General features: G+C 35.2%; 1 protein-coding gene across 15 annotated transcripts in view; it reads right to left on the minus strand.

Moving 5' to 3' along the window:
* HFM1 (helicase for meiosis 1) overlaps positions 2,604-25,601 on the minus strand; it is a 147,242-nt gene continuing 124,244 nt past the window's right edge. For 13 of the 15 annotated variants that reach the window (NR_165455.1, XM_011540852.3, XM_011540857.2 and 10 more), the window contains 9 exons: positions 18,820-18,900; positions 18,466-18,581; positions 16,568-16,647; positions 15,550-15,653; positions 9,583-9,693; positions 7,855-7,945; positions 4,319-4,430; positions 4,079-4,230; positions 2,604-3,197 (listed from right to left, as the gene is read on the minus strand). Coding sequence is in view for 14 of the 15 variants with exons in the window: in XM_011540852.3 (XP_011539154.1) it covers positions 3,128-3,197; positions 4,079-4,230; positions 4,319-4,430; positions 7,855-7,945; positions 9,583-9,693; positions 15,550-15,653; positions 16,568-16,647; positions 18,466-18,581; positions 18,820-18,900 (917 nt within the window). In the remaining variant the exon portion in view is untranslated. Of the gene's footprint in view, positions 3,198-4,019; positions 4,231-4,318; positions 4,431-7,854; positions 7,946-9,582; positions 9,694-15,549; positions 15,654-16,567; positions 16,648-18,465; positions 18,582-18,819; positions 18,901-25,601 lie in introns of those variants that run through there. The other 2 variants (XM_047447938.1, XM_047447940.1) reach the window with 2 other exon arrangements.

The raw sequence follows: 25,601 nt of genomic DNA on the forward strand, positions 1-25,601 counted from the left end.
CAAAATACTTGCCAACCAAATCCAGCAGCACATCAAAAAGTTAATACACTATGATCAAGTAGGCTTCATCCCTGGATGCAAGGCTGTTTCAATATACGCAAATCAATAAATGTGATTCATCACATAAACAGAACTAAGGACAAAAACCACATAATTTTCTCAATAGATGAAGAAAAGGCTTTTGATAAAATTCAACATTCATTCATGTTAAAAAAAACTCTCAATAAACTAGGTACTGAAGGAATATACCTCAAAATAATAAGAGCCATCTATAATAGACCCACAACCAACATCAATGAATGGGGAGAAGCTGGAAGCATTTCCTTTGAAAACTAGTGCAAGACAAGGATGCCTTCTCTCACTACTCCTATTCAACATAGTATTGGAAGTCCTGGCCAGAGCAATCAGGCAAGAGAAAGAAATAAAGAGTATCCAAATAGGAAGAGAGAAACACAAACTATCCTTGTTTGCAGATGACCAGATCCTATATCTAGAAAACCCCATAGTCTTGGCCCAAAAGCCCCTTCAGCTGATAAACAACTTCAGCCAAGTTTCAGGATACGAAATCAATCTACAAAAATAACTAGCATTCTTATACAACAATGACAGCCAAGCCAAGGGCCAAATCAGGAACACAATCCCATTCACAATTGCTACAAAAAGAATAAAATACCTAGGAATACAGCTAACCAAGTAGGTGAAAGAGATCTACAAAGAGAATTACAAAACACTGCTCAAAGAAATCAGAAATGACACAAACAAATGGAAAAACATTCCATCCTCATGGATAAGAATAATCAACATCATTAAAATGGCCATACTGCCCAAAGTAGCATCCAATGCTACTCCTATCAAACTACAAATGACATTCTTCACAGAACTAGAAAAAACTATTTTAAAATTCATATGGAACCCAAAAAAGAGCCCAAATAGCCAAGGCAATCCTAAGCAAAAAGAGCAAAGCTGCAAGTATCACGTTACCCAACTTCAAACTGTACTAAGGGCAACAATAACCAAAACATCATGGTATTGGTACAAAAACAGACACATAGACCAATGTCTATGAATAGAGAGCCCAGAATTAAGGCTGCACACCTACAACCATCTGATCTTTGACAAAGCTGTCAAAAACAAACAATGGGGAAAGGACTCCCTCCCTATTCAATAAATCGTGCTAGGATAACTGGCAAGCTGTATGCAGAAGACTGAACTGGACCCTTCTCTTACACCATATACAAAAACCAATTCAAGATGGATTAAAGACTTAACTGTAAAATGCAAAAATATAAAAAAACCATTTGGGACATAGGAATGGGCAAAGGTTTCATGACAATGATGCCAAAAGCAATGTCAACAAAAGGAAAAACTGACAAATGGGATCTAATTAAACTTAAGAACTTCTGCACAGCAAAAGAAATTATCAGCAGAGTAAAGAAACAACCTACAGAAAGGGAAAAAATTGCAAACTATGCATCTGTACAAAGATCTAATATCCAGAATCTTAAGGAACTTAGATTTACAAGGAAAAAAAAAAACCAAAACAATCTCATTAAAATGTGGGCAAAGAACATGAACAAACATGTTTCAAAAGGAGACATACATGAGGCCAACAAGCATATATATATATAAAAAGCCCAATATCACTGATCATTAGAGAAATGCAAATCAAAACTACAATGAGATACCATCTCACACCAGTCAGAATGGCTCTTATTAAAAAGTTAAAAAATAATAGATGCTGGCAAGGTTGCAGAGAAAAGGGAACACATACACTGTTAGTGGGAGTGTAAATTAGTTCAAGTATTGTGGAAAGCAGTGTGGTGATTCCTCAAAGAGCTAAAAACAGAATCACCATTTGACTCAGCAATCCCATCGCAGGGTATATAGCCAAAGGAATAAAAATCATTCTACCATAAAGACACATGCACACTTATGCTCATCACAGCACTATTCACAATAACAAAGACATGGAATCCACCTAAATGCCCATCAATGGTAGACTGGATAAAGAAAATGTTTTACATATACAGCCATAATAAAGAACAAGACCATGTCTTTTGTGGGAACATGGATGGAGCTGGAACCTTAGTAAACTAACAAAGGAACAGAAAACCAAATACTGCATGTTCTCACTTATAAGTAGGAGCTAAATATGAGAACTCATGGACACAGAGAAGGGAACAACAGACACTGGGGCCTACCTGAGGGTGGACAGTGGGAGGAGGGAGAGGATCAGGAAAAATAACTATTCAGTACTAGGCCTAGTACCTGGGTCATGAAATAATCTGTACAACAAATCCCCATGAAATGAGTTTATCTATGTAACACTCCTGCACAGGTAACACTGAATCTAAAATAAAAGTTTTTAAAAAAAGAAAAAAAATTTTCTAAAAGTTCTTAAGTGGGCTTCAACTTCTCATGGTACCTATTAATAAATTTGATAATAAATATTGCTTAGGGTACCTATATAATACTTATCAATAAATGAATTTGAAATGTAATTCATTGGAAAAAATATAAAATATCTTTTTACTACAGTAAAAGTCAACAAAGTTTTAGAATTGACAACATTGAAAAACAAGCTAAATGAAAACAACAATCTATACTGATTAATGTTTCATTTATTGTTGCTCAAAGTTAGATAACAGTAGGTTCAAATAGCCACTGGATTCTTAAAAATCTTTAGTAAAACAAAATACATGGGAATAATATTAGTGATTAATCCATACAATAAGCAGATTCATTAAGTTAGCATTACTTTGCTTTCATAGAATATTTTTCTTCTTGTTAAGAAAATATAAAAATGAAATTTTACATTGGTTCTTGTCAAAATCCAATTAATAGCCAAATAATTATTTCTAAGTGCAACTTATTTCTAAGTGCAATCAGCCCTTAACTTAAGGGCTTATTGAAACAAAGCCACTGTAAAAGAGCTTTTCAAGAAGTTACAATATAATGGGAAAATAAATCGGCCCATACATTTTGTTGCAAAAAGTGAACAAAGCTAATCAAATACAGGAGAAAAAAATCCGAACAATTATGAACTACTTTTTAAAAATAAAAAGCATGCTTTGTGATTAGGTGTCTTTATTCTTTCTCTTATCAATATAAAAAGTATTTGTTTGTTTTAGAAAATACCATCAAATATTCCCAATAAAGACTTCATTTCATCAGCTTCATCATCAGGATGATACATACTGGGAGAAAGAAGAAAAAGTAAAAATAACTATTTTTTAACACAATTTATTTTAAAATACACAATAAATAATGTAATACTAAACACAATAAAATAAACTTGAAGATTGCTATGAAGTTAATGTATCAAATAAACTTCAGTATGCATAACTTTGTAGGAAGTCTGTTGGGGAAAATTAGACTTCATAAAATGCAAATGGTAGGAACTGTAAAGGTTATTTCTTTAAATATATTGAAAAGTTATGTCATTTAATAAAGGTGTGAATGGCCTGGTCCAAGGGAAGTGTTGTTTACAACTAATTGATCACAACCAGTTACAGATTTCTGTTTCTTCTGCATCCCCACTGCTTCACTTGACTAGTCTTAAACAAAAGCAAAACAGTGTGAACAGGTCTCAAATCTTTTGACTCTTCAAGGAGAGAGAAACTGCAACACAGTTTCCTTTTCTAAAATGGCCAGCAGTGGGGGAACCCATGAGATTTAATCTGACATTTTCATTGAACGTGTTGATTGTGAAATAACTGGTTAACTAAAATACAACTTCAACTTTTGAAAAATTAGCTGATCTCATCTGGATTTCTCAAGTGACTTTACCCTTTACAAAATTAACATACTGTATTCAAATCAGTAAAAGTAAGTTTATCAACTCAATATAATGTTTGAATAAACAGCATCAAACATACGGGTTTTCAAAAACTGAGGTATATGATGTTTGAAACATCTTAAAGAGCTTAGCTCACTGAGGTTTGAAAATTTTAATGTCTTTAATAAATGAAATGTTCAGGCTGTGATCTTTAAAATGAAAAGGAAAACGGAAGGCTGAATTTCTTTGTGAAAAGTTTTTTATTGATATAATCTTAAAGTGTCTTTAAAGAGTTCTTACCTGAAATCAACTTCCTTTTTACATTCACTGTTTCTAATAAAAAAATCCACTTTTTTATAATTTGAAGAATTTGGGTTTTTTTCAGAGAAAGTAAAGCATTGCTTCTCAATCTCTGGTGACAGATTTTGTGGTTTTCTTTCTTGAAAATGGACCTACATTTGAGATAAAAAATAACAATCATTGAAAGTTTAAGCACTCGGGCAAAATTTAAAAGAAAAACAAAGAAGTGCTTCTTCTTACAATAACTGCATTTCCGGCTTGTTGAGGTAATTTTGTCATGGAGGATGCACTGAACTTGGGCATAGCAGAATTTGATAAAGAAATATCCGACATCTCATGTGATGAAACAAAACTAAAAATTAAAATTAATTATTTGTAAAATACGGCAAACAAGAAAAACCATTTTAATTTGGATCATAATGATTTTTGGGGAATATGATCAAAGTTTATCACATTTATCACAAAAATGTAATGCATTGTTTCTAATATTCATGGAGAGCTTGGTATATTTCCTTTCCTTTAGACCAAACCATAATTTACATATCCCAAATTAGGAAAAAGTACTATTTTTAAGGGACTATAGAAATAATTATTCAACAATTTTCTTTAAAATTGAGTCTTATGCTTAATTGTCTATTACATAGAACCCTATAAACATTTTCTAAATTCCACTTGCTTAACTTTTAATCTCCTTTCTCTATTCTGGTCTCATTGTAGTTAGACATCTCTAGTTATCTTATTAGATATAACTGTATAGAAGAATTTACTCTGAACCTTCTGTATTAACTCATTCACTAAAACACATTTATTATTCACTATTATATGCCAGATATTGTACTAGAAGCTGTGTATGAAGTGATAAAGAAAACGTCAGGGAGTTACCATCAAGCAGACAATGAATAAAAACAAATATATAAATAATTATAAATCCTGAAATTATAAAAAGAAAATGAACTGGGTAATAGCATAAGAAATAATAGTGTGGAGCCATAAGCCCATTTTTAAAAGATGATCATCAATGCATCTCTGATGAGGTAACCATTTAAGTTGACACCTGAAGGCTAAAATGTAACAGCCATGTAAGGAGCAATGGGCAGTGTGGGTGGAGACAGGGAAGAATCACATATACTGATAGAATTGGATCGTTTTGTCTCTGACTAATAAATATATATACATGGCAAGGAATTAAAATAGTAAAAAGTGTATAAAAGAAAAAGCAGGCCAGGCACAGTGGCTCACACCTATAATCCCAGCATTTTGGGAGGTTGAGGTGGGAGGACAGCTTGAGTCCAGGAGTTTGAGGCCAGCTTAGTCAACATAGCAAGACCCCCATCTCTAGAAAAAAAAAATTTTTTTTAATTACCCAGGCATAGTGGTGTGTATGTACCTGTAGTCCCAGCTACTTGGGAGGCCGAGGTGGGAGGATCTCTTTAGCCCAAGAGCTTGAGGCTGCAGTAAGCCCTAATTATGCCACTGTACTCTACCTTAAATAAGTAAAAAAGCAAATCTCCTTTCCACCCCAAATCCTCAGGTCCCACAGGCCTTTTCCCCAGCAGCAACTTCTACACCAGGTTCTCAGAGGCTTCTTGTTAGAATCCATTTTTAAGCCCACACATCTTCTGTTGGTCCCTTCTAAACTCTTCCAAAAGTATTTGTTGTTTTTTAAAGGTGTGGTGCACAAAACTGTTCATATGCCTTGTTACCTTCCTCCTTATGATTTACCTACTTTTTGCTTCTCTACACCTACAGCTTTGTCTCACTTGGATGGTTATATCCGTTTATTCTATGTCACTCAAGAGTTACAACCAAAGAAACAAAGTGATAAAAAGACTCATTTTAAGCAAATGTTTTAAAAAGCTATTCAGTGATTTAAGAAATCCTAACATGGAACAAGGGTGAATGAGCTCCTGGTCACTGGAACTGTCTTGGTAGAGGTGGCATGATTACTTGCCAGTGATGTTGAATGATGATTCAAAGATCCAGTGAGAGGGAGACTAAACAATACCAAAGTCGCCCCTAGCTCTGGAATTCTATTAAAACTATGAGTCTGTGATGCTGATACTAATAATCAGTAATGGCCAAATAACAGCAAAAATTCCAAGGGATACCACAAATTTAGTATTTTTTTTTTTTTTTTTTTTTTTTTTTTTGAGACGGAGTCTCGCTCTGTGGCCCAGGTGGAAGTGCAGTGGCGCAATCTCGGCTCACTGCAAGCTCCGCCTCCCGGGTTCACGCCATTCTCCTGCCTCAGCCTCCCGAGTAGCTGGGACTACAGGCGCCCGCCATCACGCCCGGCTAATTTTTTTGTATTTTTAGTAGAGACGGGGTTTCACCGTGTTAGCCAGGATGGTCTCGATCTCCTGACCTCGTGATCCGCCCGCCTCGGCCTCCCAAAGTGCTGGGATTACAAGCGTGAGCCACCGCGAGTATTTTTTTAAAGCAGAGAAATAAATAATCCTTAAGTAGAAAATCAGACCCTGAATAAAAAGTTGTTGGTATTTCTTCTGTTTTGAAAATTTTGGCTTTGGCCATCATTTCTCTCCCTTGACTTCTAATCAAGTCCAGTATTTCCCAATGCATTTTGCATTTTTTGTAAAGATACTTCAAATTGAAGATTTATAAAATTATGTTTTCCATTCTAAATCTCTTATGTTTCCTATATCCTTAAATAACATCTACCTAGGTGCCATTTATTCTTCCCTCTTCCTCAACTATCATATCCTATCAATTGCCACACTGAATCTGCTCTATTTCTGAAATGTTTTAAAAATCCAACCCTACCTCTCTGTTCCCATCACTTCTGCTGTAGTTTAGGCCTCATTATAGTCTGTCTTTCTCATTGGCCACCATGCCTCTGGCAGTCCCACTCCCTACGATTCACTCTGCATACTGCTGCTAGGATGATTTTTTAAATCAAATTGTTTTTTCTGTGCTTAAATATTTTGGATGGTTTCTCACTGCCTACCATACAGGTAAAAACTAGAGGGCCCTAGGACACATCTGGCCTACAGATATTATTATTATTTGGAGGAGGGTGCCACAGAGTATATCACATTTTTTTGAATTAGTTGTCAAAATTTAAAAATAATAAGATATCACATAAAATTTCAGATTCCTAGCTTTTCTTGAAAAGTCAGAATATTTTATAACACTAGACTCACATTGCCTGCACAGTAACAACTGCTTGGAGCTGAGTAGTGGCTGCTCCCTTTAGATGGGACACTCTACAGTTGGCCTTGGCCCACCAAATCTTGAAGGTATTTGGGTTTGCGACCCGACTGGGTACAGGACAGGTGTCTAAGCACAGCACTCAAAGCCCTTACAATAAGACTTCAGCAACAGACTTTGTGCTGTGGCCACACATACCACACTTTACTGATCTTTGAGCACGGGATACCTTTTCAAGCCTTATCCCTTTAGAGATGCTTTCTTATACCTGGAATGCCTATCTGCCTCTGTTCTAGTTGTCAAACTCCTATTCAGTTTTCAAGTCTTGTTAAAAGTGAAGGTTCCTGGGCTCCAGTCCCAGAGACAAAAATTCGGTAGATCTAATGTGGGGCTTAAGAATGTGCATTTTTAATATGCACCTCAAAGTGATTTTGATGCAGGTGGTTTCACAACAGCACTTTGAGAAATACACCTCTAAGATTAAGAGGGTTTAGGTTGGCTAATACCTTTTAGCATCTGTGACATCTAATAACTTGATCCCCATCTCCAACTATGTGTCAAGGGGATATAAAGTTGCAAATATTACAAACCTAAGTTCTAAAACTTGCCTGTTTGACATTTCTCTTTGGAATTTGCTCTTTGACTCTTGAAGGGGTAGCTTACTTCCCCTGGTACTTGAACTCAAAGTGTTTCCAAATCCTATGTGAAGAGATAACATTTTGAAACAAAATGCCAAGAAACAGCTGAATGAAGCTTTTCACAAGTTCTACAACGTTCTCTCCAACAGATATGATCTGATTAAGGAAGGAATGAATAATTCTCAGTAACCTAATTTAATTTGCATAGAAAAATTAGGGGCACAAGGCTAAGGGAGTAAAACTCTAAAACATATAGATTAGCTTATTAGTAACTATATTAAAAGGTCTTCAAGCCACCTGTGTTGTGGTAAAATACGTATTTGGTCTTTGACTCCTGTTTCTAACTCTACTGGGTTGGAAGACACCCAGCTGGTATTCACTGTGGAACTGATTGCTTGCTTGGCGTGTGGGAAAAAACCCACACCCATTTGGTCATAGATGTCTTCTGGGCTGATCATGGTGTGAGAGTGAGGAAAAACAGTTTGTGTTTTTGCACTCACTCTCGTTATTTATGTACTTACATTTTCATTCACATAAATGATCAAGTTGAAGTTCACTCAATATTTTCAGTGGTCTGCTCATAATCATTTAAAGTGCTCTATACATGGGGGAAAATGGCACTTATTGAGACTGATTTTCCCAGTGACAAAGCTGTGCCGTCTTAGGACTAGGCTACCTCAAAGGATCAGTACACATTGCCTATTAACTTGCAGTACCCAATGACACTTAAGTTTGAGGTAGGGAACAGTAGTTGTCTGGTGATAAACAAAATTGTGCCTAATGACCCCACATCATGGAGATTCTCCTGGCCTATTCTGTGAAGGTGGTCAAATCCTGTTCTTTTCAGAAGCAGTATTAGTTCTCTAGGTAATTCTAAGGGCCCCCAAAACAATAACATTTCAACTTCTAACTGCTTCCCTTTGAAATACTCTTTTAAAAACATGAGGTGGGGTATGGTAAGTGGTATCTATAATTGTGGAAATACCAGTCTGCACTGAGAAGGCTGAGGGACTGATTTATTTCTGTCAGCCCTAATGGGAGACAGTATCTCCATTGCTATCTTGTCACATACTGGCCAAGGTTTTCAATTCTCTGTTTTAGTGAAATAGAGTAAATTTGCCTTTCACTCAAAGAGCTAATAAGCCTCATTATTTTGGGGTTGTATATGATTTAAATAGAATTTCTAGTACAGGAGAAACTAATCTTTCTTTCTTATTTACTTATTTATGTATTAACTTATTTATTTACTTCAAGCTGAAAGTCCATATTTCAACTAGAAATAAAAGTTATTTTCTTTGCAAGCAGATGAATAGTTTTAAAAATGTATTTTTTTGTTCTTCACAAATATTAGCAGACCATTTGTGATCTTAGAATGGAGAACAAAATAGTCTGTTTCATGAGAGAAAATTGAATAAACAATTTGAATTTGACTTTTACAAGAGATAGGAGCAATAGAATAGAAAGTGCTCATTTGCTACATTATCATCATGGAATAACCTTGATCTCTGTTCTTAGGGGGGAAATGTTCTTTGTAGAAGAGTCACATTTTCAGTTTTGCTAAAAATTATAATCTTAACAAACCAAATCTAACTAAACAAGCACACACAACAAAGGCAAAGAAACTTAGTTCCAGGAGCTGAAATGAAAAATATTCAAAGAATTCCTAATGAAATGATTGCATGCTAAGTATGATTTTACCTGATATTTTTGTCTTCTCAGTATCAGTTGAAAAGCTAGTAACTTCTAAGTTTTCATCATCAAAATCATCCCAAACTTCATTTCCCAATTCAAAGTTCACATTCAAAACTTCTGAAAATAGAGAATTGCTTTTATCTGCATCTGTCAAATGTTGGTTTCCAGATATATTAAGATTTCTGTTGAAGAACACTGTTTGAGAGACTTTCTCATTTGAAGTTGTAGAACAGTTACATCTAGAAAAATCTGTTATGTGTATGTATAAAAGACTATAGGTACTTTTTAAACCACAAGCATCGTAGTCTATTGATATATCAAACACATCTTTCAACTACTAAACAGAGTTCTTGAGTAATAGTTTTCAAAGGCATTGTGTCAAGCATTGTTGAATACTGTATTCAGCCAATTCTATTAACTGTATAAAGTTGCACTAAATTTAATTTTCAATACATTTTTTAGGCAATTAATTTTTCCTCTTAATTCCCATATTAGAATAACTCTACTCCAAGATTGGATTATAATAGTTTCTAAAATGGTCTTCCTCCTCCAGATCTTCTCCCTAAAGTTAATTTTCAGTATTGTTATAAAAGGTATTTGTCCAAAATAAATAATATTTATTTTTCTCCTGCTAAAAAATCCTCAGTGTTATTCATTGTTTACAGCCTGGATTTAGAGCCAAATTACATAAGTGAAAATTCCACTTCTCTCATTTATTAGTTGTATGGTCTTAGACAGTAATTCAAACTTCCTGATTCTGCAAAATAAGGCAACAACAGTACCTACCTCAAAAGATTGTTATGAGGCGCTAAATGCCTTTAGTTGTACAGTTTTACACAGTATTGTGCTAATAAATGTTTAATAGCTACCTCTACAAAAAGCGTATGCTTATGTATACACATATAAGTTTATTATAATCTTTGCTGATGTAAAGGCTATACAGCACACGTTTTACAAATAACAACATATATGGTATACTTAAATGTAAATTCCATATATCTAATTGATTCTCATTGAATGTTTTCATTAAGTTTTGCCACTGTTTTATCTGTAGTCAACCTATGGCTGCAAGTGACGAATGTAGCTCTCATGTGAATGTTGTTTGATATTTTTGTTGACTCTAACAAGTAAGATGAAAATATTAATAAAACAACAAAGACATCTGTTGGGATTTCACTCATTCACCATTGACTTAAGCAACTTCTTTCCTGAATTAGATAGTAATTTTCAAATACTAGAAGAATATTCTCTCAATTTTTTGTGTTATTCACAATGTAATGGCTACAATAACAACACACATTTGTTTAATCTACAATATTAAAATTTTATCCTTCACTTTCTTAAGTCTAAAAAATAAGCAAAACAATAAATCAAACCCAGATTGGTAGTATTTGCTGATTCCTATGGTATAAATGTTCCCACCATAACTGATTTCAAGCTATTAATGTGACATAATTGAATAAGAAGTTGGGAAAAAATGCACGACAGAACCCTATAATATAGTATTTCTACCATATGGATAAATAATCTCGAGAACACAGATAAGAGTAAAATGCAGTAGAACAATTAGGAAGTGATGAGTTTTGAGTATTTTTGCCTTTGTTTTTAACATAATTTAATTGAAAGTTTATGTAATTAAATTTTCAATAATGGCTGAAAGATTCTTGAAAATTTAATAATCATCTCTCATAAGTTAGTATAAACTTGCTCCAGCATATCACTGAGTTTCCTCCACTTTAAATATCTTCTATGAATTTCTTCACCTGTCCAAACCCTTCCTTATTCTTCAACTGTACCTATAACTACAGTTCACATTACTCTACTTTTGTATGTTGATGTGCACACACTGAGACACACAATGTATATATGTACTAAAAATGGAAGTTTGTACAGAGTGCAATGGGAATGCAGAGGAAGGAGGATCTAAACCTGCAATGGAAGTAAGACATACTCTTCTAAGGTGATACCACATGACAGACAGACTCCTGAGGTGATAACATATGAAGGAAGAGTAGTCGGAATTTCAGCTTGATAGAGCTGTAGTTGTGAAGCAGGGCAAGAGCAAAGGGAACCTATGCTATGAAGGGAGAACACCATGTAAAAGACACAGCAATATGAGAGAACAGAGAATTTGGGGAGAACTGTAAGTTTTCAGGATTTCTGGAGCACAAAGTTGGAGAAGGCAGGGTCCATTGTGTCTGCACAGGTAGTTAAGTGCTAGATCACGTTGAAGCTTATTTGCCATATTAAGGAGATTTTTTTGTTTTTTGTTTTTCTTATAGGTAAAGGATAACTATTGAAGATGTTTCAGCAGAAGGTTTACACAACCAGATATGTCTGTCAGATCACTTTGAATATTATGGATTGAAGGATAATGAGACTGAAAGCAGAGAGAAAAGTAAGTTATTGCAGTAAACAAGAGAGAATGAATGCTTAAGCTAGAGTATCAGCAGAAAGGATAGAGTGGAAATAACAAATATGAGAGATGTGCAGGAGGCAAAATAATTAAGATTTGGTGATTATTTACATGTGGGGTGAGCTATTTAGAAGGACACTTTAGCAGCTTAACAAAGTAAAGAGTTCATTCATTGAGCTAAGGCAAAAAGAAAAGGTGTAGAGTGAGGTAAGAAGAAGACAGAGTTCAGATGCTGACATGTCTGATATGTTAACTGTTAGGTGGATATGTCCAGGAAGGTGATTATACAGATGGATTTGGAGTTAGAAAGAAAGGTCTAGATGGGAGATACAGCTTTAGAAATTATCAAAACATAGTCAGTGATTAAAGACACGGGCTTGGGTGATACTGTATAGGAAAAGTTTTTGAAGTGAGAAGAATAAAAAAAAAAAAAAGAAAAAAGAATCCTTTTGCAACATCAACAGGAAGAAAAGCCCATGCAGTCTAAGAAGTAACAGGAGACCAACATAATGGTTTTACTGAAATCAAAGGAGAGATTTCCAAAAGAAAGGAAAGACCAGTAGTATCAAATACTATAGAGGTCAAAGAGATTAACAGTTGAAAACAGTTCACTGAATTCAGAACTTAGAAAGTCACTAAATGGCCTGAACAAAAACAGCTTCAAAGGACTGATACACAGAAAACCTAAATTTTAATGAATAAAGAGTAACTAGGGTATAAGGAAGCGATGAGCATACTGAGTGTCAATTGCTCTTTCAATTAATTTTTGTTTTGATGAGAAAGCAAGAGATAGAGGGTATGGGGACTCTAGAATTCTGTTTTTTGTCTGCCTGGTATGCTTTCCCTTCTTTTAGTGGGAGTACCCTCCCTTTCCTTTGAGGAAACTGCTTCTACAATTCTACTGGATCCTAGTAAGGCCGTTATTCATGGTGCCCTGCCTTCTCTGGGGCCACAGGTATACAACGACCCAATCGTCAGGTTACTGGGATTGATCAAGGGATAAACACATGACTCAAATGAGGCCAGTTAGAATGAGCTCTGGTCTGCCAAAACTAACAGGGAAGTCTACCTTTTTCCACTGAGGCGCTAAACTGGTAAGATGTAAGTTAGGGGCTACCTGCTGTGTGAGAAACCCTATTAAAAAGTAAAGCCAAGTAGCAACAGGCATAGCTAAAAGATTGAGAGAAAGCCAGAGGCATGAGTGCCTTGATTTAGCCAGAATTAAGCCAGATACTTTTCAGTTTACTTGAGACAATTGGTTCCTTTTCTTGTGCTTAAGTCATTTTGAGTAGAATTTTTATCATTTATAATAAAAAAGTCATGACCAGAAGCTGAAGAAGGAAGAGACTTCAGCATATTTATATGCTAAAGGGAAAGACACAGTGGAGAGGAAACAATGAAAATATGGGAAAGAGGAGATGGATAATGATCTTCTAAAGTCCCAGGGAAAGCAGGATTGGATAGAATTAAGATTACAGGAGGAGAGATATGCCTCGAGTGGAAGAAAAGATAAGTTTTCTTTTAAGACAAATAGATGGTTACAGATGGATGCAGAGACAGGGAAATATATAGTTGAGGGGTGGGGCAAAAAGCTGAAAGAGTTCATATACTACTGGTTCAATTTTCAGTTCTCCACTGATCACTAAAAGTCAATTTCATTTTATAGAAATGGCATTGGGCTGGGAATCAAAAGATATGGAATCTTTTTCTGGCCTTGCCATTAATTAGATATGAAATTTTTGGGCAAGTCATTTAATCTCTTGGAGTCTTGGCTTCTTTCACTATAAAATGAGAAATTGCATAAAGGTCCCTTCCAATTTAAATCTTATGATTCAACATGCTTTCTCATATAATTTGTGACATTTTTTCTTCTTCCCTTTTTGAAATTGGAATACAGAAGATAAAAACTGCCATGCTTTTTAAAAAACATTCTCAAAAGCAGTATTTGAATACATTTAAAGTATGTTTTGCCACCAAAGACTAATATGTGAAAAATATAATAAACATAATTAGTTATTACTAACAGTACCAGAAACCCTAACAGCTTTACATGCATTATCTCATTTAATCCTAAAACCCCTAAAATATAACCAGATGAGCAACTTAGACAAAGTGGTTAAGTAGATTATGAAAGGTTATACTAAATATCAGAGCTAGGACTTGGACAGATGGTTTTCAGATCCTGCGAACTTAACTACTATACCATGCAGCAACTTCTTAAAAAAAAAATGGCCCACTCAGTAAAACAGGGATAGAGTTATTATTGGGGGTTAAAGTATCTAGATGAGACTTTAATATCATAATATAAATTGGATTTGGAATAGTGAGTGGGAAAGAAAAGTAGGAAAACCATGTAAATATAACACAAAAGTAAGCAGAGGGAAGGATAGACAAGCTCTTGTATGCAGAAGGACAGGTAATAATGTAGTAATATAAGGAAGGAGTAAGTTAGAGGGCTACATGTTGAACAAAGATAAATATAAGAAGGTTGACAATTTTATACTTCCTATCCGCTTTGTAATGACATCCAGGCTTTGAATAAGTTGGATAAATGCTCTGGTTCTCCAGGTGAGATTAGGGAACTTTTCTTGATCTCATTATTGGGCCTAATAGCTGCCATGGTATCACAAGAGGTAGTGAATACTCCAGCCCTTGACTCTGTAAAATCTTAAATTATGACTAGAGGAAAAAAAAGTTACAACATGAAGAAAAAAAAATGACAGCATGAAGAAAAGAATGTCAACAGAAGCCAATGCCAAACACATGAAATGATTTTCAGAAAACCCCAAGCTTACCATTTCTACATACAGCCACTTGAAGAAATAACTCAATGGATAGGATTGTCTCATGTTTTAACAGACTGGCTATTAATAGCATTATTCAGGGAAATTATGCTCTATTAATTGCAGGAACCAGAGTAATGATGAACCAGGCAGTGTTGAATTTATATGCATTATCTCATTAATTTAATGACGGACACAGATAAAAAAGCAAATCTAGATTACAAACTAGCTATATCCCACAACCTAAGTTATTTTCTCATACTAACATAGAATTGTAAGAATCATAGGTTTAAGAATTGGAGAGATATTAAAGGTCACCCAGTTCAATACCTTCATCTTAAAGATAAGACTAAAGCCCAAAGAGATTAAATAACTTGCCCAAGGTCACATTGATATTTTGTAAAACTGGACTAGTTTTATAAACATAAAATTATTTTAAATAATTCTAATGATATATGAATGTAATCATTCAGTATGTTAATACTCTATATACCCAAGGATCCCTTATTTGCTCAGGTTTTCCTCATAGTATCTTTAAATTAAAATAGCATTATGTAGGAAAGAGATTTTTTTTTAAAAAGTACAACAAACAGAGTAAGACCATCTCAATAACAGACCCAAGAATTTGAAAATGATTCAGTAATCTAAGAGAAAAATGTTGCCAAGTTAATAATCATAACAATTTCAGATGCCGGTGTTTCAATAACACTACTCGTCAATTCAAAGTAATAATAAGCCATTTACTCTCTCAAGTAAGTATCAATGGTAATTTACCTTTGTCTTGATATTCAGATGGTTCTTGTCTAACTTTTCCATAGATTTCAGGCTGATCCCACTGCTCCATTATAGGCAATTCAGATATGTTTAAATATTCTGACCTTTATAAAGATAAAACCATGAAAATGTTAAAGAAAATATGGAAATTAATCTAAGCCTGAAAACTATTTATTCATATAAACAAAAATAATGATTTATCCATTTAACACTTCTATGATACACTGGACCCAGGCTGGGTAGCAAATAAATAGGTGTTTCATGGAAGTGACCAATACTTTCCTTTACATGCCCTTAGTTAGATAACAAAAGCCAGGATCTCTAGAAGTACTGCTGGCATCTATTCTGATGAGTCAGTTCCTGTTCTGTACTAGTTGTTAAATACATTGAATGTCATTCCTGCATATAGAATGCCCTTATCTAGCAGGGAAATTACATATATGATTGTCCTGTAGGCATCAGGATACAGGAAAAGAACAATGAGTTACCACCTAAGGCCTTCTGCTTGCTAACTAGGAATATGAACTTCAGTTTTTCCATCTATACAATGGGACGAAAAAATACCTCATTTTATGGGCCATGTTGTTGTTTAAGTCAGAAAATATAATGCACAAATGTGTAATTTTCGTATTATAAATCTGAGATATTATTAATATGGACTGAGCTTCTAAATGGAAAGGTTAGACTGTACACCAACATGATTTCCATTTTAAAGTATACTCTTGTCACTTAGTTTATATTCCCTATAAAGAGAGAACCTAAGGGAATGACAGAGGATAGGTAGTTTCCTAGGGAAGAGATGATCTAATGAATGTTATTTCATAACTGCAGAGTTCTAAATAAATTTAGGGTATCAAAGATAATGAAACCATTATGATGTTATTGCTTCACTATGGAACTAAACGATAACTGTGACTTGATGGTAGCCAGTGACTATCTTTCCCTGAATAAGTGGTTACCTGCAGGAACAGAGTTTACGATAAATATTTTACCTTAGATATTAACATTATATTTGTACCTTGATATACTAGGAAGGGAAGGTTTTGGAGTAAAACCAAACTCTTTAAGGTCCACACTTTGAGATTTATTCATCTGTATCTATTAATGAAACAAAAATAAGTTCAACTATCAGTTTCACATCAATAACTTGTAACACATGAGCCAAACAACAAAATTCCTGCTGGTACATAAAGTCCCCAAATCAATGAATTAGGAGAAACTCAGGTTAGTTCTTGACTCGAATATTTCACTCAGGCCCTTCTTAAATGTTGGCATTTTTTTTTTTTTTTTTGAGATGGAGTTTTGTTCTTTCACCCAGGCTGGAGTGCAGTGGTATAATCTCAGCTCACTGCAACCTCTGCCTCCCAGGTTTAAGCAATTCTCTGCCTCAGCCTCCTGACTAGCTGGGATTACAGGTGCCCACCACCATGCCTGGCTAATTTTTGTATTTTTAGTAGAGACAGGGGTTTCACTATGTTGGCCAGGCTGGTCTCGAACTCCTGACCTTGTGATCCACCCGCCTCGGCCTCCCAAAGTGCTGGGATTACAGGCGTGAGCCACCACATCTGGCCTAAATGTTGGCATTCTTCATGGTTCTTTACTAGGTCTCTTCTTACACTACACCTTCTCAATCAAAGATCTCATTTATTCCTGTGGCTTCAATTGTCATCTACATGTGAATGACTCTCAAATTTCTACTTCTCGCTCAGCTCTGTCTCCTGATTTTCAAACAGTTATATCCAGCTGTCTGTAGGACATCCTTAGCTAGACATCTTGCAGGCCCTCTAAATTCAGTGTTTCCCAAGTTGAACTTATCCTGTTCTCTATTTCAGCAAACTTGCTTTTCCTTCAGAATATCTACCTGAATGAGACCCCACTTTTCTCCCAGTTGCTAATGCCAGAAACCTGGGCATCATTTTTGACTGTTCCTTCTATTTTGTCTCTTATAACCAATGAAGTAGCAAGGTAGCGATTCTACCTCTGAAAAATATTTTAACCCAGTCACTTCCCTCCATTGCTATTGCCACTACCCTAAACTAGGCCATTATTTTGCTTAGATTATTGTAAAAACCACCTAATGAGTCCCTTTGTTCCTATTCTATCATCCTCTAATCCCTTTTCTACATTGCAGTCAGAGTGACTTTTACAAAATACAATTTTGATCATGTCACTGGTTAAAATCTTTCATTGGCTTCTCAGTACTTTCATGATAAAGTCTAATCCCTTAAAATAGCAAAAAGGTCTGCATGATCTAGCTCCTACTTGCCTCTTCAGCCTCATCTCTCTCTACTCCTTTACTTGTAATCAAACTCTAGACGTACTGTATTACTGAGAAAGAGTTTCTTTAAAGATCCCTCTCTCTCTCTCTTTCTTTATACCTCTGGACCTTTGTATAATCTCTATGCTTGGAATATTTAGCTATCCCTTCCTACGATCATTCTGGTGCCTGCCCCTCCATCCTTGGCTTATCCTTCAGGTCCCAATCACATCTATTAGGAATCCTTTCTTGGTCCATCAAATGTGGATTGAGTACCTTTTCTGTCTAAACTTAACTGTGTTGTACTTCTGTCACAGAATCACTCATCACACTATATTAAAAAAGCATGTTTACTTACTTGTATCTCTCACTCTACTACAAATTCTATGATTGGGAATAAGACTGTCTTAATCGTCACTGTATCTTAGCACTTTGGCATATTCTTGGTGCTCAAAGAAGATGGAAGGAAAGAAGAAAGATTTAGAAGAAAAAAGGAAAGAAGAAAGAAGGGAAGATGGATTATGAATAATGGTAATATTCTTAGTCAAGCCCACAAGTAATTCTATAGTACACTGTGGATACCTAATTGACAGACAGAACAAAGAATATTTATATACGTTTAACTACAGAACAATGGGAAAAATGTTATTAAAACTAACCTTCAGACGTTTAACTGGAGGAACAGATGAAACAGCATTCCTGTTTCTTAAATCAGATAAATATGAAGAAATTGTTGACTCTTTAATTTCTGACTTCTGTGCAACTCCAATTTTACCTATGAAAAGAAACTTCAGATTCTTTAGGTTAAACTTCAGATCTTATTCTTATAAAGTCAAATTTCTTTAAAATTTCAAATCTAGTATTTACTTTTTTCATGTTGCCCACAGAGAGAAAATTATTTGCATTATTAAGTTGCATAATATAAATATCATACATAATTAGGATGTCATTACTATCCACCAAAGACCTTTCAATTTTGAACACTTTAAATAAACTTGTTTTAAGGAACTCACAGCAGTCATGTCCACATGTATGTTTACTTTTACAAAGATGATTGCATTCTCGGTTCCCAGGTTTTTTGCTGGCAGTCGTTCCTAAATTAATATAAGAAAAACAAATCCATTTGTCACTACATTTATTATTGTTAATTTAATATAATTAATTTTTATCCAGTTTCCTTCCTTTCAGACAATACAAAAATATTGATTTTTATACTTTCTCAAGTGTTTTGTAATCCACGTAATTTTTTTTTTAATAAAGAGATAGGGTCTTGCTATCTTGCCTAGGCTGGAGTGCTATGGCTATTCACAGGCATGATAATTAGTATTACAGCCTCAATCTCCTGGGCTCAAGAGATCCTCCTGTTTCAGCCTTCCAAGTAGCTGGGACTACAGGCACTTACCACCATGCCTGGTAATTTTTAAAACATATTTTTGATAAGTTACTCCCTGCCCCACTATTACTCCCAACAAGAAACATCTAGCCACCTACAAGCTTCTCTCAACCTCCCTGGTGTGTGTGTATAATCTCCCTGGTGGGTGTGTGTGTGTGTGTGTGTGTATACTTTATATATATATAATATATATACTTTAAATATGTATAATATATATACTTTATATATAATATATATACTTTATATATATACTATATACTAATATATATAATATATACTATATATAATATATACTAATATATATAATATATACACTATATATAATATATACTAATATATATTATATATACTTTATATAATATATACTAATATATATAATATATATACTTTATATATAATATATACTAATATATATAATGTATATACTTTATATATAATATATACTAATATATAATATATATACTTTATATATAATATATACTAATATATATTATATATACTTTATATATATAATATATACTTATATATTATATATGCTTATATATAATATATACACTAATATATAATATATATACTTTATATATTATATTTTATATATACTTTATATACATTATATTATATATATATAAAATAGGGCCAAATATGGCCACATATCAGTAACTTTTTTACTAAATGAGGTAAGAATGAGGGTGGAGTTTAAAAACACTTCTGTTGCTTTGTACTCAAGCCTGAAAAACCTGTAAAGAAGTAAACATTATGGCATTTTGATGGTACTGCTGACAGAAGTTAGTAAACAAGATGTAATACATATTTAATACATATTAGAAATAAATGCTTTAGGGATCTAAGAAATTAGCTATATGAATTTACAGGAAAGAGAGATTGTTTCCATCCTGACTCCTCTAAGTTAGAATTAATATATCTAAATATATGATTTACTCTTAATTTATTATATTTTAAATCAGCTTTTTCTTGATCTTAGCTCTCACTAGTAGCACGGGGAAGGAGAGAGATGTTTGAACTGGTCCTTGAAGGACAGATGGAAATACGAACATGAGAATGAGACAAAGGGAAGATATTCCAGGTGGAGGGCAAATACCCAAAAGCAGCAAATCACCGATTGTAAGAGCTGAAATCAGCTTATTTTTGCTGCAGCATAGATTTTAAGTGAACCAGAAATGTTGGAGATAGTGGAGAGCTTGAAAACTTTACAACATTTCTTGGTACTTTACTCTTCATTTTCGGTACCATTGTTCAGTCAAGCTTTCCAAGTCATGGCACGTCTAGACAGTGATAATATACATATTGCAGCCTAGGGTAAATGGATGAGGCTGCTCAACATATGAGGCAACGGCTGGTCCTTAGAGCTGAACAGATCAATGTATTGGGTACTGATAAGGTAAAAAGAAAACACCTGGGCGGCTGGAAGCTGACAGCTAACCACAGTATTCCCAATTGAGCAAACAATTTTGAGAATATAAATACCCAGATAAGGCCACTCTGTGACCATAGTAGAAGAAGACAGAGATAAGACTACCATGTAAATGTTTCTGAAACTAGAGAAAAGAACTCTCAAGAAACATAAAAAATAATGAAACATCCCCCTCTTCTGGCTAACACAGATGACTACTATTTTTTAAATCCTCTCACTTCCAAAAAAAAAATGTACCAAAATATCCAACATCTTACTTCCTGAGAGCATCCAATCTAGAACTGATCTCTGCTTTCCCTAAACCTTCCTAAGAGTCACCCAGCACAAGCTGAAATCCTATAATAAGATTCTGAAATCCTATAATAAGATTCTGAAATCCTATAAGAAAATCCTCCTGGCTCCTTGAGATGACCCACAGTTCTGTGGCTATGGTGCTCTCCTTTGCTGCAGTATGTTAAATAAACCTAACGTTCCTCAGACCCAAGTGTGTTCCTATTAGGCACTGACTGAAAGGCTTTGACTTTAAACTTTGTAAAGTGTGTCACGACTTATTGTTTCAGGTGTTTTGTCCCAAGTCATGGTCCTGTTACCTCTCACTTAGATCAGAACTGGTTTCTTTGAATCCAGTCCTCCATGATACAATTTATTCTACACATTGTTGCTTATTTAATACTTTTAAAGTCCAATGCTGATCAGACCAATTTGCCCACTTAGAAACATGAGTTACTTCCTACTGCCAGCAAAATCAATTCCATCTTCAAGGTCCTGCATGATCCAATTCCAGCTTCCCTTCCTGGGACCCATATTAGCCCTACATCCATCAAAACACATTCAATTGCCATTCTTCAAATAGTTCCATGCCTTTTTATAACTGTAGCTTTGATACTATCTCTTGTCTTAGAAGACCCTCATTTCCTTGCCCAACAGATGCCTACCAACCTTCAAGTCTGACTCAAATGGCACCTCTGGGTTGGAGGTCTATGGTGATCACCTGATCTGATTTCCCTCTCCTTTGGGCCCCTGTGGCATTTTCTCTGTGCCTCTTGCTTACTGTATGCTGCCTTATATTGAATGTATTTACAGAAAAAACATAGTGGTGAAGTACAGGGAACACTAAAATAGAAAAAAAATGAGCTCTAATATAGGCTCTTATTTGGGAAAAAAGATTTAATATCTGTTCTGTTTACCTCACAGAGACGTAAAAATAAAATGTAATTTAAGTATGTAAAAACAATTGACAATTAAGTGATAAACAAATATATTAATGTATATATTATATCCGCTATCTCTACTATTACATCAATCCAAGATTAAACAAATAAATTTTAAACTAAAATTGTTCTGAATGCTGTGAAGGAGTGGTACATCATGCTATGTGGTAACAGGTGAAGCTGTTCTGGTCAGGAACGTTGGGCTGAGCACTGAAGAAAGAAGGGAAGTTAAGAAGGCAAAGAAGGAGGAGAAATTAGAGTTCAGGCAGAGGGGATAGCATATGCTAAAGCTCTATGACAAGGAAAAGCATGGCACATTGGGGAAACTGAAAGGTCAATATGACTGATGCTAGCAAATATGAGAAAGTATGTAAGATGAGACTATAGTGGTAGTAAAGGCAGCCTATGTTTGTAGGGGAACAGTTCCACCATGGCACCATGGCAATTGCATATCTCCATATAGGCCATGTAGGTAAGACTCAACTGTTGGCAGAATGCCCCATGATCATCCTTAAAAATGGCAAGATAGGTAGTCTTGTGAGGAGCTATCAAAGGCCATTTCACATTTGCTCCATACCTTGCAGAAGACCCTCGATCTTGCAGAAGACTTGCCATGCGGCAGTTTCTCATCTGCCTCCCTGATTCCACTAAGGTATGGAACTTTCCATTTTGCCCCTTTCAGATAAAACTGCTTAGCTGAAGCCTAGAGTTCACTTCTCAAAAACAAAGCAACCCACCACTCATGTTGTCTGTCATCTGACCCCCCTAGTTTGGTATCATCCTGTGGAATTGGGGATGTAAGCAGCTAATACCATGCTGATCTTGCTTTGCCATCTGTGTAAGTAATAAACTGTTTAAATCCATTAGGGTGTCCTTACCAGCCAAATCTACAGAAGTGAGGCAAGACCACATAGCAGCTACCACTACATTGCTGCTTAGGGACTGGTTGACCATGTGACCATATAGAACCTTCTAGGGGATGCTAATGATTTAGATTCTAAGAGCTATGGGAAGCCACTGAAATGTTTTAACCGAAGAGGGGGCACAATCAGATCTGCATTGTGAAAAACGTCACCATATAGAGTGTAATATGGAGAACAGATTTGAGATAAGACAGAAAGGATGCAAGAAAACCAGTACAAGTCTAAGCAGAAATCATGGTAACTCCAGAGTGGTGGTGGTAGTAGAGTTACAGAGAATAGACTGATTTGAGAGATATACAGAAGGTAAAAATATTTTTAATGCAGAATCAAGTGGAGTGGTTTTCTTTCTTGAGCAGCATATTGCTTCCCCTGAAGTTTTGCAGCCTTCCTTTTTGTCTAGCAATATCCATCTTGTTTCTTTAAGTTCACTCAATAGTTGAAGGGTAAAAGCAAATACATGGGAATACCTCACCCATTTATTCCCCCCTCATCAATGCCTCCTTCCTTGAACCCTCTATCTGCCTCCTAATGCAATCTAGACCTGTCCTGTAACTGTCACCTTTGAACTTCCTTTCATTAAGTTCCTGGGCTGAATCTACTACAAATGGATTCTTGGGCTTTTTCTTTCTTGTTTTACTGGTGCTCAATTTTGAGCAACTGCCTAAGAAAGGATGTATAAGAATAAAATTTTCTGAATCTTTGAATGTATTAAGGCATCTTTATATTACTTTCATACTTAGTAGTTTGGCTGGGCATAGAACATAAGGTTGAAAATCATTTTTCCCTTGGAATTTTATTTTTTATTATTACAGTTTTGGAGACAGGGTCTCGCTCTGTCACCCAGGCTGGAGTGCAGGTGTGAGACCACAGCTCACCGCAGCCTCGAACTCTTGGGCGCACGCACTCCTGCCTTCTCATTCTTCCAAGTAGCTGAGATTACAGGCACAAACCACTGTGCCTGGCTTCCCCCTGGAATTTTAAATCAATTGACTTTTAGCATCCAACATTGCTCACTAAAAGACTATTACATTTTTAAATTTTTGTGCCTCGTAAGCATTTACAATTTTGTCTTTATCCACAATGTTCTGAAATATTGCAATTAGCTTTATTTGTAGACCTTTCATTCATCCTAACTAGCATTAAGTAAGACTTTTTAATGTGAAGATTTCTGTCTCACTTCAGTTCTGAAAACGTTTCTCAAATTATTTCTTCTGATTTGTTTGTTCTTTCTTGAACACTTATAAGTTAGATACTGGGTTCTTAAATTGCCCCCCTTTTCTCTTATATTTTCTGTCTCCTTGACTTTTTGCTTTCATTGAGAAGGTATTGACTTTATGTTCGAGACCTCCGGTTTTCCTTCCAAACATAATTTTTGCTTCTCTGTGCTTGCTCTGGTTCTTTTTATTTTAAAATGGCATCCTATTCAGTTTTGTGGTTGCAATTTAATCTTTAATTTCTCGGACGTTACTAAAGTTTTATATTAGGTTTTATTACATTCCTGAATTATCCTGTTGCTCTTTCATCCATTTTCTATTTCCTTATTTTGGACTTTCACACATTCTACATTTTCCTAAAATGTCTCATCACCCTTGGTTGTCTGCCTATAAGGTTCCTATTATATCTCCATTTCACCTATGAGAAAATTAATTCTTACAGAGGTTAAGTAAGATGCTCAAGACTATGCTGTTAGTAAGTAGCAAATTTGAGATTCTAATTCAAGGTAGTCTAATTCCAGAGACTGATCTATCAACAATTCTCTCTCTAGTTGTACCAGTTGCTTTAGCTCTCCCAGAGGATTCATTTAAGTTATTTAGAGAAGGAACCTTTGTTTTGAGGTGGGAAGACTTGGAAGAAAAGCTTTGCAAGTTGCTGTTTTAAAATGAAGAATAAAGAGTTGCCTTTGGGTCTTAAATACTAAAGAACTTCTAAAAAAGATGCATGTCTAAACGCTGCCACAAGGTGGTGCACAATGACTAAGCACATTTGCTCCCAGTGGCAGCAACTAGGATCTGGGACTCTAATTAGAGAGATTCCGAGGGCTCCCAAAAATTTCAAGGCAAAGTTGGCAAGTCTTGTCAGGAATGAGGACTGTATGCAAGTTTTGTTTGTTTGTTTATAGAACACTAGCACATGGATACTACCTGACGAAATCTTTTTGCTGTATTTTTGTTACGAATGGTACTTTGAAAATAAAAGTGCTCCCTTTACCCTGCCGCCCTCCCTACCTCCTGAGAATTGTCTGAATTTATCTTATTAGCAAATATAAGCTTACAGATATTGGTAATTAGAAAGATAAGGTTCTCAGAAAAAAAATAATCTAAGCTGTACTCTTCTGAGAAAAAGTCTGGCTCTATCACCTAGGCAGGAGTGCAGTGGCACCATCACGGCTCACTGAAACTTCAGCCTCCCAGGCTCAAGTGATCCTCCCAACTCAGCCCCCTCAGTAGCTGGGACTACAGGCATGCACCACCACACCCAGCTAATTTTTGTATTTTTTGTAGAGACAGGGTTTGTAAAGACCAGCCATGTTGCCCAGGCTGGTCTCGAACCTGTAAGTTCAAGCAATCCACCCACTTCGGCCTCCCAAAGTGCTGAGACTACAGGTGTGAGTCACTGTGCCCAGCCTAAGCTGCACTCTTAAGTATACTCTAAAGATAGCAGATTCCATATTCCATCACTGTCATAATCTGAGGTGCAAATATTTTCATAGTTTTGCCACATATTGTATTAATTTACATGTTATAAAGTCTCTAGTTCCAAGCATTTAAAGTAAATTTATTAATAATATCAAATAGAAATGTATTGAAAGAAAATACTTAAAATTACTTTAACAGAG

The sequence above is a fragment of the Homo sapiens genome, chromosome 1, assembly GCF_000001405.40.
Source record: "Homo sapiens chromosome 1, GRCh38.p14 Primary Assembly".
In the NCBI taxonomy this organism is placed as follows: Eukaryota; Metazoa; Chordata; class Mammalia; order Primates; family Hominidae; genus Homo; species Homo sapiens.